General features: G+C 40.6%; 1 protein-coding gene across 5 annotated transcripts in view; it reads left to right on the forward strand.

Moving 5' to 3' along the window:
• Positions 1–14,440, forward strand: part of SPATA7 (spermatogenesis associated 7) — an 84,694-nt gene that overhangs the window by 64,304 nt on the left and 5,950 nt on the right. For 2 of the 5 annotated variants that reach the window (XM_006720204.2, XM_047431582.1), the window contains one exon: positions 5,100–12,019. The exons of the other annotated variants lie outside the window; for them this stretch is intronic. In XM_006720204.2, the coding sequence (XP_006720267.1) occupies positions 5,100–5,153 (54 nt within the window). In that variant the 3' untranslated portion in view covers positions 5,154–12,019. Of the gene's footprint in view, positions 1–5,099; positions 12,020–14,440 lie in introns of those variants that run through there. 5 annotated transcript variants of the gene reach the window in all.

A 14,440-nucleotide genomic window follows, 5' to 3' on the forward strand; every position in this document is an offset into this window, starting at 1 on the left:
TTTTGTTGGTAACTTTTTAATTACCATTTCAATCTTGCTGCTTGTTATTGGCCTGTTCAGAGTTTCTGTTTCTTCCTGGGTTAATGTAGGAGGGTTGTATATTTCCAGGAATTTATCCATCTCCTCTAGGTTTTCTAGTTATTCCATTCAAGATATTCCATCCAAATGGACATCAAAAGCAAGCAGGAGTAGCTATTCCACCCCTTTACCTAAGTTTATGTGAGTCTTTATGTGTCAGGTGGGTCTCTTGAAGATAGAATATACTTGGTTGATGAATTCTTATCCATTCTGCCATTTCATATCTTTTAGGTGGAGCATTTAGGCCATTTACATTAAACATTAGTATTGAGATGTGAGGTACTATTCTATTCATCGTACTATTTGTTGCCTGAATACCTTAGGTTTTTTTTTCATTGTGTTAAAATGAAAAATTATAGGTCCTGTGAGATTTATGCTTTAAGGATATTCTATTTTGATGATTTTGAGGATTTAAGATTTAGAGCTCCTTTTAGCAGTTCTTTTAGTGCTGGCTTGGTAGTGGCAAATTCAGCATTTGTTTGTCTGAAGAAGACTGTATCTTTCCTTCATTTATGAAGCTTAATTTTGTTGGATACAAAATTCTTGGCTGATAATTGCTTTGTTTAAGGAAGCTAAAGATAGGACCCCAATCCCTTTTAGCTTGTAGGGTTTCGGCTGAGAAATCTGCTATTAATCTGATAGGTTATCTTTTATAGGTTACCTGATGCTTTTGCCGCATAGCTCTTAAGAGTCTTTCCTTTTTCTTGACTTTAGATAACCTGATGACTATGTGCCTAGGCAATGATCTTTTTGTGATGAATTTCCCAGGTGTTCTTTGAACTTCTTGTATGTGGATGTCTAGATCTCTAGCAGAGCTGAGGAAGTTTTCTTCAATTATTCCCTCAAATATGTTTTCCAAACTTTTAGATTTATCTTCTTCCTCAGGAACACCAATTATTCTTAGGTTTGGTCATTTAACATAATCCCAAACTTCTTGGAGGCTTTGATCATTTTAAAAAATTCTTTCTTCTTTGTCTTTGTCAGATTGGGCTAATTTGAAAGCCTTGTCTTTGAGCTGGGAAGTTTCTTTCTTCCATTTGTTCAATTCTATTGCTGAGACCTTCCAATGCATTTTGCATTTTGCATTTCTCTAAGTGTGTTCTTCATTTCTAGAAGTTGTGCTTTTTGTTTTGTTTTTGTTTCGTTTTGAGATGGAGATTCACTCTTGTCGCCCAGGCTGGACTGGAATGGCGCAATCTTGGCTACCTGCAACCTCTGCCTCCTGGGTTCAAGCGAATCTCCTATCTCAGCCTCCCGAGTAGCTGGGATTACAGGCGTCTGCCACCACAGCTGGTTAATTTTTCTATTTTTAGTAGAGACAGGGTTCACCACGTTGGGCAGGCTGGTTTTGAACTCCTGACCTCAGGTGATCCACCTGCCTGAGCCTCCCAAACTGCTGGGATTGCAGGCGTGAGCCACTGCTCCCGGCCGTGATTGTTTTTTACTTATGCTATTTCACTGGAGATTTTTCCATTCATATCCTATATCTTTTTTTTTTTTTTCTTTGAAAAGGAGTCTTGCTCTGTCACCCAGGCTGGAGTGCAGTGCCACAATCTCGGCTCACTGCAACCTCTGCCTCCCTAGGTTCAAGCAATTCTGCTTCAGCCTCCCCAGTAGCTGGGATTATAGGCGCCCACCACCATGCCTAGCTAATTTTTGTATTTTTAGTAGAGACAGGGTTTTGCCACGTTGGCCAGGCTGGTCTCGAACTCCTGACCTCAAGTGATCCACCTGCTTCGGCCTCCCAAAGTGTTGGGGTTATAGGTGTGAGCCGCTACACCTGGCCCTATATCATTTTTTTTATTTCTTTAAGTTAGACTTTACCTTTCTCTGGTGCCTCCTTGATTGACTTAATAGTTGACCTTCTGAATTCTTTTTTCCTGCAGTTTAGAGATTTTGTCTTGGTTTGGATCCACTGTTGGTGAGCTAGTGTGATCTTTTGGGGTGTTAAAGAACCTTGTTTTGTCATATTACCAGAATTGCTTTTCTGGTTCCTTCTCATTTGGGTAGAGAATGTGAGGGAAGATCTGGGACTCAAGGGCTGCTGTTCAGATTCTTTTGTCCCACAGGATGCTCCTTTGATGTGGTGCTCTCCCCTTTTCCCTAGGGATGGCATGTCTTGAGAGCCAAACTGCAGTGATTGTTATTTCTCTTCTGGATCTAGTCACCCAGCAGGGCTACCAAGCTCTGGGCTGGTACTGGGGAGTGTCTGCAAAGAGTCCTGAGATGTGATTCATCTTCAGGTCTTTCAGCCATGGATACCAGCACCTGCTCAAGTGGAGGTAGCAGGAGAGTGAAGTGGACCCTGTGAGGGTCCTTGGTTGTATTTTTGTTAAGTGTACTACTGGTTTTGTGTTCGTTGGCCTCCAGCCAGGAGGTGGCGCTTTCAAGAGTGCATCAGCTGTGGTATTATAGGGAAAATCACACTGTGGGCGGGGCCATAGAGCTCCCAAGAGATTATGTCCTTTTTTTTGGAGTTCTTCTGCTGTCCCGCAGAGCCTACAGCAGCAATCCATCTCCTTCTGTCTGCTCAATTCTCTTGGCTTTCCTGGTATATTCCTGCAGTAGTTCTTGGAGCAAAAGTTCACAATGTGGGTTTCCACACGCTGCTCTGTCCATCTGAGTGGGAACTGCAAATTAGTCCTGCCTCCTATCTACCATCTTCCCTCCAGTATACCCCCTGCTGCTAGTATTTTTAAACAAACCATGCCACTCTCTTCTTTAAAACACCTGTGAGAGTTTGCACTTGCTAACACAATAAAGTCCAGGACCTTTGGCATTTTCTATGTTATATTTTCCTTCCCAGTTCATGTCCTGCCATCCTCTCCGAAGCACCCTGTGTCAATCACACCTACTCGCTTGTTCTTCACACATAGAGGTCCTCTCTCTCTCCATGTATCTGCTCAGGGTATCATTTCCTCTCTTTGGCACCCTGGAGTCTTCATTTAAATCCCAGACTGAATATAACACCTCCTGTGAAACCTTGAGGGATTGCCCTAACATTTGTCCCTCCTACCCCAACTCTGTGATCTGAAATCTGTCTTACTACATGAGTTTTATAATACTGTTTACCCAATTTGTCTCTAGACTGTAAGATTCTCAAGAGGAAGGACCTGTTTCTCTTTGGATACCCAGCTTGACAATGAATGCATTTGTTCACGGAGGAAGATAGTTTGAGCTTAATGGGAGGTTTAGCTTCAGATAAGGTTATAGGGAAAACAGGATATTTCCTCTTCTCTTTATACTCAGAAAGTTCAGGTTCCCCGTGTAGAAAGAAGAATGTAGCAGATTGCTAAGCTACATGAAAATGTGTTTGCTCACATTTTAAATGGTGTAAAATATAAATTAACATCATCATTAGAAGGCTGGCCTTAAAAAGTCACATGGTCTCTAGGAAGTCAATAAGTAAAGAACAGAGCAGCTTTTGTGGGCAAGACTATACTTTGCCAAGTGAACTAATTAGCTGTATGGTCACCAGTGAATTACTTTATCCCAGACCTTGTGTGTTTTTGATTTCTCAGACCTCACGGGGATGAAGGGCCTTGGTTTTAAAGAGCTCGGACTAAATGATCCAAAGATTTCTTTTTGTTACTAAAATTAGTTCTACTTTAATTCTTAAGGTCTGTAGAAATTAAAATGGAAATAATTTATATTTGAAGTAGAAATACCTATTCACTCTTCATGTGCTGGTGTAGTATTGGAAATCAGTCTGCTAAACCGATTCATACTTCAGTGATAGAAGATGCCACCCTGAGTTACTTTCCCCAGTAGCCAGATGGAACCAGTAAGGAATATCATATCCTAAAAGAACAAATCCATGTTTAAAGACTGGGAGGAAGATCTTTTTGGGTTGGAGTAAGGAAAGTTTTGCACCAAGGCTAAGCTTGTTGCCTTGTGCATTCTGCTTTGTGCTCATATTCGAGTTTTGAGGCAAAAACACACACCTAGCAGTTTGGGACATGAGGCCTCCATATCACCTAGTTTTTCCAACCCAACAAACCCTCAAGTTTCTCCCGAGAGAAAGAATATACCATTGTATAAGTTTCCTATTGCTGCTGTAACAAGTTACCACAAACATTAAAAAACATATCTTACAGTTCTGGAACTCAAGTCCTAAAATCAAGCTATTGCTGGAGCCACATTCCTCTTGGAGGCTGTAGGGGAGAATCTGTTTCCTTGCATTTACCAGCTTGCAGAGGCTGCCTGCGTTCCGTCACTTGTGGCATCTTCCTCCATTTTCTAGCCAATTGTGGAGGATCTTTAAATCTCTTTACTAAAGACCCTGGTGATTACTTTGTGTCCACCTGGATAATCCAGGATAATCCCCCAACTCAAAAATGCTTCATTTAGTCACATCTGCACAGTCCCTTTTGCCATGTAAAATTTATAACTTCAGGGGATTAGGATATGGACATATCTGGGGAGCTGCTATTCAGCCTACCATGACTATAAATATCATTAACCTAATTAAAATGGCCTAAATTAGCTGGCTGTGGTGGCTCACCTATAATCCCAGGACTTTGGGAGGCCAAGATGGGAGGATCGCTTGAGCTCAAGAGTTCAAGACCGACCAGCCTGGTCAACAGAGTGAGACCCCATCTACACACACACACACAAAAATTAGCTGGGTGTGGTGGCCCACAGCTGTAGTCCTAGCTAATTGGGAGGCTAAGGCAAGAGAATCACCTGAGTTCAGGAGATGGAAGCTGCAGTGAGTTGTGATCAGGCCACTTCACTCCACCCTGGGTGACAGAGCAAGACCCTATCTCAAAAAGAAAAAAAAAGAAAGCCTAGATAGACTTTAGTTTGTATTAATTATAGCTTGGCTATACAATGAGTCCCAAATTAGGACATATATTAAACGTCCATTGATTTTTAATTACTAAAGCAGTGGTTCTCAAACTTTAATGTGTATCAAAATCACCTGGAAAACTAAAGTGATTTCTGGGCCCCATCCCCATAGCTTCTGACTCAAAATATTTAGATCTGGGTCAAGGCTCAAGAATTTGCATTTCTAACAGATTCCAGATGCTGCTACTACTGGTCCGAAAACAACCCCACTGGAAGATGAATAAAGTGGACACAACAAATAGCATATGTTCTACTATAGAGGTGGCCACATGAAGAGCTCTGCAAGCCCACTGTGAAATTGATAGCAAATCTTTATTCAAGTGTATTAATTGACCCACAAATATCCTGATTAATGAAGCTGGCTAGTTTGGCAAGATGCATTCTAACTCTTAAAGTGATTGATTACTGTGGAGATGTGTGATGACAGATTGGCACCTACTAAGGAAACCTCTCTTGCCTGGTACATTATTAAAAATAATCCAGTGGGGAAATAGGACTAATTTAATTACATGCCTTTATGCAGTAAGATCCACAGTTGAAAAATAGAGGCAGTAGCTTTAATTGCACTGTAATGTTCACACACAAATCATATCTTGCTTGAAACAGTTTTATGGCAAAAATAGACCATATATTGATTTCACATATATAACATTTAACCCTTCAAGCCTTTTTGCCCATTAAATATACACACCTTTACAAACCAATAACAGTTTAGAAGAATTAAGCTCTTCTGATTATAAACTTTTACATTATTGATCAGACAGTAGCACATAAAATTGCTTTTTTTTTTAGTATTTTACATGAATAATTTTATTTGTGCTTCATGAAAACTCCATTTATCCCATTTTTTATTATACTTTAAGTTTTAGGGTACATGTGCACAATGTGCAGGTTTGTTACATATGTATACACGTGCCGTGTTGGTGTGCTGCACCCATTAACTCATCATTTACATTAGGTATATCTCCTAATGCTATCCCTCCCCCTCCCCCCACCCCACAACAGGCCCTGGTGTGTGATGTTCCCCTTCCTGTGTCCATGTGTTCTCATTGTTCAGTTCCCACCTATGAGTGAGAACATGCAGTGTTTGGTTTTTTGTCCTTGCGATAGTTTGCTGAGAATGATGGTTTCCAGCTTCATCCATGTCCCTACAAAGGACATGAACTCATCATTTTTTATGGCTGCATAGTATTCCATGGTGTATATGTGCCACATTTCCTTAATCTAGTCTATCATTGATGGACATTTGGGTTGGTTCCAAGTCTTTGCTATTATGAATAGTGCTGCAATAAACATGTGTGCATGTGTCTTTATAGCAGCATGTTTTATAATCCTTTGGGTATATACCCAGTAATGGGGTGGCTGGGTCAAATGATATTTCTAGTTCTAGATCCCTGAGGAATCGCCACACTGACTTCCACAATGGTTGAACTAGTTTACAGTCCCACCAACAGTGTAAAAGTGTTCCTATTTCTCCACATCCTCTCCAGCACCTGTTGTTTCCTGACTTTTTAATGACTGCCATTCTAACTGGTGTGAGATGGTATCTCATTGTGGTTTTGATTTGCATTTCTCTGATGGCCAGTGATGATGAGCATTTTTTCATGTGTCTTTTGGCTGCATAAATGTCTTCTTTTGAGAAGTGTCTGTTCATATCCTTCGCCCACTTGTTGATGGGGTTGTTTGTTTTTTTCTTGTAAATTTGTTAGAGTTCTTTGTAGATTCTGGATATTAGCCCTTTGTCAGATGAGTAGATTGCAAAAATTTTCTCCCATTCTGTAGGTTGTCTGTTCACTCTGATGGTAGTTTCTTTTGCTGTGCAGAAGCTCTTTAGTTTAATTAGATCCCATTTGTCAATTTTGGCTTTTGTTGCCATTGCTTTTGGTGTTTTAGACATGAAGTCCTTGCCCATACCTATGTCCTGAAAGGTATTGCCTAGGTTTTCTTCTAGGGTTTTTACGGTTTTAGGTCTAACATTTAAGTCTTTAGTCCATCTTGAATTAATTTTTATATAAGGTGTAAGGAAGGGATCCAGTTTCAGCTTTCTACATATGGCTAGCAAGGTTTCCCAGCACCATTTATTAAATAGGGAATGCTTTCCCCATTTGTTGTTTTTGTCAGGTTTGTCAAAGATCAGATGGTTGTAGATGTGTGGTATTATTTCTGAGGGCTCTGTTCTGTTCCATTGGTCTATATCTCTGTTTTGGTACCAGTACCATGCTGTTTTGGTTACTATAGCCTTGTAGTATAATTTGAAGTCAGGTAACATGATGCCTCCAGCTTTGTTCTTTTGGCTTAGGATTGTCTTGGCAATGCGGGCCCTTTTTTGGTTCCATATGAACTTTAAAGTAGTTTTTTCCAGTTCTGTGAAGAAAGTCATTGGTAGCTTGATGAGGGTGGCATTGAATCTATAAATTACCTTGGGCACTATGGCCATTTTCATGATATTGATTCTTCCTATCCATGGGCATGGAATGTTCTTGCATTTGTTTGTGTCTTCTTTTATTTCATTGAGCAGTGGTTTGTAGTTCTCCTTGAAGAGGTTCTTCACATCCCTTGTAAGTTGGATTCCTAGGTATTTTATTCTCTTTGAAGCAACTGTGAATGGGAGTTCACTCATGATGTGGCTCTCTGTTCGTCTGTGATTTGTGTATAAGAATGCTTGTGATTTTTTGCACATTGATTTTGTATCCAGAGACTTTGCTGAAGTTGCTTATCAGCTTAAGGAGATTTTGGGCTGAGACGATGGGGTTTTTTAAATATACAATCATGTCATCTGCACACAGGGACAATTTGACTTCCTCTTTTCCTAATTGAATACCCTTTATTTCTTTCTCCTGCCTAATTGCCCTGGCCAGAACTTCCAACACTGTGTTGAATAGGAGTGGTGAGAGAGGGCATCTTTGTCTTGTGCCAGTTTTCAAAGGGAATGCTTCCAGGTTTTGCCCATTCAGTATGATATTGGCTGTGGGTTTGTCATAAATAGCTCTTATTATTTTGAGATACATCCCATCAATACCTAATTTATTGAGAGTTTTTAGCATGAAGGGCTGTTGAATTTTCTCAAAGGCCTTTTCTGCATCTATTGAGATAATCATGTGGTTTTTGTCTTTGGTTCTCTTTATATGCTGGATTACATTTATTGATTTGCATATGTTGAACCAGCCTTGCATCCCAGGGATGAAGCCCACTTGATCATGGTGGATAAGCTTTTTGATGTGCTGCTGGATTCGGTTTGCCAGTATTTTATTGAGGATTTTTGCATCAATGTTCATCAGGGATATTGGTCTAAAATTCTCTTTTTTTGTTGTGTCTTTGTCAGGCTTTGGTATCAGGATGATGCTGGCCTCATAAAATGAGTTAGGGAGGATTCCCTCTTTTTCTATGGATTGGAATAGTTTCAGAAGGAATGGTACCAGCTTCTTGTACCTCTAGTAGAATTCGGCTGTGAATCCATCTGGTCCTGGACTTTTTTTGGTTGGTAGGCTATTAATTATTGCCTCAATTTCAGATCCTGTTATTGGTCTATTCAGAGATTCAACTTCTTCCTGGTTTAGTCTTGGGAGAGTGTATGTGTCGAGGAATTTATCCATTTCTTCTAGATTTTCTAGTTTATTTGCTTAGAGATGTTTATAGTATTCTCTGATGGTAGCTTGTATTTCTGTGAGATCAGTGGTGATATCCCCTTCATCATTTTTTTATTGCCTCTATTTGATTCTCCCCTCTTTTCTTCTTTATTAGTCTTGCTAGCAGTCTATCAATTTTGTTGATCTTTTCAAAAAACGAGCCCCTGGATTCATTGATTTTTTGAAGGGTTTTTTGTGTATCTCCTTCAGTTGTGCTCTGATCTTAGTTATTTCTTGCCTTCTGCTAGCTTTTGAATGTGTTTGCTCTTGCTTCTCTAGTTCTTTTAATTGTGATGTTAGGGTGTCAATTTTACATCTTTCCTGCTTTCTCTTATGGGCATTTAGTGCTATAAATTTCCCTCTACACACTGCTTTAAATGTGTCCCAGAGATTCTGGTATGTTGTGTCTTTGTTCTCACTGGTTTCAAAGAACATCTTTATTTCTGCCTTAATTTTGTTATATACCCATTAGTCATTCAGGAGAAGGTTGTTCAGTTTCCATGTAGTTGAGCGGTTTTGAGTGAGTTTCTTAATCCTGAGTTCTACTTTGATTGCACTGTGGTCTGAGAGACAGTTTGTTATAATTTCTGTTCTTTTACATTTGCTGAGGAGTGCTTTACTTCCAGCTATGTGGTCAATTTTGGAATAAGGGCAATGTGGTGCTGAGAAGAATGTATATTCTGTTGATTTGTGGTGGAGAGTTCTGTAGATGTCTATTAGGTCTGCTTGGTGCAGAGCTGAGTTCAATTCCTGGATATCCTTGTTAACTTTCTGTCTCGTTTATCTGTCTAAGGTTGACAGTGGGGTGTTAAAGTCTCCCATTATTATTGTGTGGGAGTCTAAGTCTCTTTGTAAGTCTCTAAGGACTTGCTTTATGAATCTAGGTGCTCCTGTATTGGGTGCATATATGTTTAGGATAATTAGCTCTTCTTGTTGAATTGATCCCTTTACCATTATGTAATGGCCTTGTCTCTTTTGATCTTTGTTGGTTTAAAGTCTGTTTTATCAGAGACTAGGATTGCAACCCCTGCCTTTTTTTTCCATTTGCTTGGTAGATCTTCCTCCATCCCTTTGTTTTGAGCCTATGTGAGTCTCTGCATGTGAGATGGGTCTCCTGAATACAGCACACTGATGGGTCTTGACTCTTTATCCGTTTTGCCAGTCTGTGTATTTTAATTGAAGCATTTAGCCCATTTACATTTAAGGTTAATATTGTTATGTGTGAACTTGATCCTGTCATTATGATGTTAGCTGGTTATTTTGCTCATTAGTTGATGCAGTTTCTTCCTAGCATTGATGGTCTTTACATTTTGGCATGTTTTTGCAGTGGCTGGTACCAGTCGTTCCTTTCCATGTTTACTGCTTCTTTCAGGAGCTCTTGTAGAGCAGGCCTGGTGGTGACAAAATCTCTCAGCATTTGCTTGTCTGTAAAGGATTTTATTTCTCCTTCACTTATGAAGCTTAATTTGGCTGGATATGAAATTCTGGGTTGAAAATTCGTTTAAGAATGTTGAATATTGGCCCCCACTCTCTTCTGGCTTGTAGAGTTTCTGCTGAGATTCGCCGTTAGTCTGATGGTCTTCCCTTTGTGGGTAACCCGACCTTTCTCTCTGGCTGCCCTTAACATTTTTTCCTTCATTTCAACTTTGGTGAATCTGACAATTATGTGTCTTGGAGTTGCTCTTCTCGAGGATTATCTTTATGGCATTCTCTGTATTTCCTGAATCTGAATGTTGGCCTGCCTTGCTAGGTTGGGGAAGTTCTCCTGGATAATATCCTGCAGAGTGTTTTCCAACTTGGTTCCATTCTCCCCATCACTTTCAGGTACACCAATCAGACATAAATTTGGTCTTTTCACATAGTCCCATATTTCTTGGAGGCTTTGTTCATTTCCTTTTACTCTTTTTTCTCTAAACTTCTCTTCTTGCTTCATTTCATTCATTTGATCTTCAATCACTGATACCCTTTCTTCCAGTTGATCGAATCGGCTACTGAAGCTTGTGCATTCATCACGTAGTTCTCTTGCCATGTTTTTCAGCTCCATCAGGTCATTTAAGGACTTCTCTACACTGTTTATTCTAGTTCGCCATTCATCTAATCTTTTTTCAAGGTTTTTAGCTTCTTTGCAGTGGGTTCAAACTTCCTCCTTTAGCTCAGAGAAGTTTGATCGTCTGAAGCCTTCTTCTCTCAACTTGTCAAAGTCATTCTCCATCCAGCTTTGTTCCGTTGCTGGTAAGGAGCTGCGTTCCTTTGGAGGGGGAGAGGCGCTCTGATTTTTAGAATTTTCAGCTTTTCTGCTCTCTTTTTTCCCCATCTTTGTGGTTTTATCTATCTCTGCTCTTTGATGATGGTGACGTACAGATGGGGTTTTGATGTGGATGTCCTTTCTGTTTGTTAGTTTTCCTTCTAACAGTCAGGACCCTCAGCTGCAGGTCTGTTGGAGCTTGCTGGAGGTCCACTCCAGACCCTGTTTGCCTGGGTATCAGCAGCAGAGGCTGCAGAACAGCACATATTGCTGAACAGCAAATGTTGCTGCCTGATCGTTCCTCTGGAAGCTTCATCTCAGAGGGGCACCTGGCCATGTGAGGTGTCAGTCTGCCCCTACTGGGAGGTGCCTCCCAGTTAGGCTACTCGGGGGTCAGGGACCCACTTGAGGGGGCAGTCTGTCCGTTCTCAGATCTCAAACTCCTTTCTGGGAGAACCACTATTCACTTCAAAGCTGTCAGACAGGGACATTTAAGTCTGCAGAGGTTTCTGCTGCCTTTTGTTCGGCTATGACCTGCCCCCAGAGGTGGAGTCTACAGAGGCAGGCAGGCCTCCTTGAGCTGTGGTGGGCTCCACCCAGTTCGAGCTTCCTGGCTGCTTTGTTTACCTACTCAAGCCTCAGCAATGGTGGATGCCCCTCCCCCAGCCTCGCTGCCATCTTGCAGATAGATCTCAGACCGCTGTGCTAGCAGTGAGTGAGTATCTGTGGGCGTGGGACCCTCCGAGCCAGGTGTGGGATATAATCTCCTGGTGTGCCGTTTGCTAAGACCATTGGAAAAGCTCAGTATTTGGGTGGGAATTACCTGATTTTCCAGGTGCCATCTGTTACCACTTCCCTTGGCTAGGAAAGGGAATTCCCTGACCCCTTGCACTTCCCGGCTGAGGCGATGCCTCACCCTGCTTTGGCTTACGCTCGGTGGGCTGCACCCACTGTCCTGCCCCCACTGTCCGACAAGCCCCGTGAGATGAACCCGGTACCTCAGTTGGAAATGCAGAAATCACCTGTCTTCTGCGTCACTCGCGCTGGGAGCTGTAGACTGGAGCTGTTCCTATTTGGCTATCTTGGAACCGCAAACAGTATGTTTTTCTTACATTTTTTCCTTTACCTTTTTGTTTGACTTACAGGGGTTTAAGTATTCTGTATTATCTTGTTTTTATTAAACCTGTTCTAGAAATAAACTTGTTGTCTCTGGAGAATATTCAGTTTTTTCAACCTGTTTGTTGGTCTGAACCAGTGTTGCACTGGTATTATTTCAGTAAAACTACAAAACCTTACCAAAATCCTTTCAGGACACTTAACTCTAAGATTAAATTACATTTCAATAAATATTAATCACTGTAAGTAACAAAATATTTGTCTCATTCAATGGTCCATTAATTTCAAGTGATTTCTAATAAACTTCCAGGATAAAAAAATTTGGACCGTCTCAGCATATGGTCACAGTCTGACCTGTAATATCTGTATCTTATGAAAAATGAATACGTTTATATTCCCTGTTCATTTGTTCAGTTTTTCTCAGCTGATGAGCAGACAGAAATGAAAACTAGTTATTGAATCTGTACTAGTCTCATCAACCTACTAAAAAAATTGAGGCCTGACAGACTCATATCCTGTCTAACCCAGGTAATCATCCAACCTTCTGAATTTCTTTGGCAATGGACATCTGTTTTTAAGAGTGAATACTGAAGATGTTTGTTTTACCAAGTTTTTAGAGTGTGAATTTAAGTTACACACGCACACTTAAATGTCAGTGGTTTCACATTTGACAACTGAAATTAAGTAGTAGTCTTTGTACACACTTTAAAAACCACCTACCAGTTCAGTTAAAATTGTAGGTCTATTAACACTGAAATTATGTCGCTTGTGTACTGCTATATCCAGTGCAGCTACACCACATTGTCGATTCAGAGCCAAGGGATTTTACAGATTTTAAAGTGCGTTTATTTGACACACCACAAAGTCATTTAATGAAAGTTAAGGAATAATGATCAAAACATTTATCTAGTTAATAAGTAATTTTCAGAAATTTGGAACAGTACGCAAGCCATACTATTTCTGAAGTTCTACAGAAGTTCAAACACAATGATTCCTTTCTTGTCATCCGTTTGTCCCTATTTATAATATTAAAGCATAACTCAAAAGTATATGGTTACTATCCCTTTAGTAACCCATAAAATGTTGGAAGGTGTTTAGATGTTCTTTAGATTTTTGAAAATTAAGTATTTTTTAGAATACACATGGGTAATGTCAACATTTTTGGAAATATGATGTGCAGACAGACCTTAATTTTACTTGTATGTGACCTAGGGATACCCTCTATATAATAGCATTTGCCTTGGAACTGCTGCTCCTTCAGCTGGGTGCTGAAGACCTTCACCTTCCTTCTTGGGCCATCCCTTACTTCCCATTTCAAGCCAGTAATATTAAGGAGGACATATAAGTGGCAACAGGAAAGGTAGGGGACAGTTTTGCCAATTTGCCCTCCTTCACCCCCTGCCCCACTTCAGACAGTTTCATTAGCAAGATCCCTGCTCACATTATAAGGCCCATTCTGTTCCTTACCCATGCACAGCTCAAGTTTCTGCAACAAACGCTGGCATACGTTCTGAAAAGTTTCCCATAAAACAGACACTTAACTTCAGTTGCTTTCTGAGTCTTGGTTGCCACTGCCCGACAGGAGTATTTATTCTCTGATCTCACCAGCAGGGTGCAGTAGGGAGAAAAGTTGCCCTATAATTTCTTGGAGTACAGAACACATACAGATACGGTTTGGTTCTGTACCACTGCTTACCTTTCAGGGCCCCTATGGTTTCAGTAAGCTTTGAGGGCACAAACTAAGAAGGCTAACACCAAGAGTATTGTTTGCATGGGTAAATATTACTAAAAGTCAACATACAAGTGAACTTTTAGAGCATATTTTTTATTTGGGAACTACCTGAAATACCCAGAAAACTATGCCACCACTTTAACAATCCAAGGACTTCAAATGTTTTCTAAAACTCTCTCTACCCAAGTAGACATGCAAACTTTGATCTGAATTTCCTGACATTTCCTTATTTTTCTGTTTTTGTTTTGTTTTTTTTTGAGACAGAGTCTTGCTCTGTCACCCAAGCTGGAGTGCAGAGGCGAGATCTCGGCTCACTGCAACCTCTGCCTCCTGGGTTCAAGCAATTCTCCTGCCTCAGCCTCCCTGAGTAGCTGGACACGTGCCACCATGCCCAGCTAAGTTTTGTATTTTTAGTAGAGACGGGGTTTCACCATGTTGGCCAGGCTGGTCTCATACTCCTGACATCGTGATCCACCCGCCTCGGCCTCCCAAAGTGCTGGGATTTACAGGGGTGAGCCACCACGACCGGCCTTCCTCATTTTTCTATAAATAATTTTAGATAGTAGGGTAAATGGAGTTCTTATTTCCAGGAATTTGAAAAGCTCATATTCTTTTGAGAAATGTTTTCCCAGGCAAATTTCTAATGCAGCTATTCCTCTACTTTTGAAATGTCCATCCCTCAGCTCAAAAGAAAGCACCCTGCAATTTAGATTCTTTTTTTAAAAAATTAAGTTTAAACTGGAAAGGGATAGTTTTAGCTTGTTCCACATGAAATCTTGCTGATAAGCAAAT

Source organism: Homo sapiens, chromosome 14, assembly GCF_000001405.40.
Source record: "Homo sapiens chromosome 14, GRCh38.p14 Primary Assembly".
NCBI classification, from domain to species: domain Eukaryota; kingdom Metazoa; phylum Chordata; class Mammalia; order Primates; family Hominidae; genus Homo; species Homo sapiens.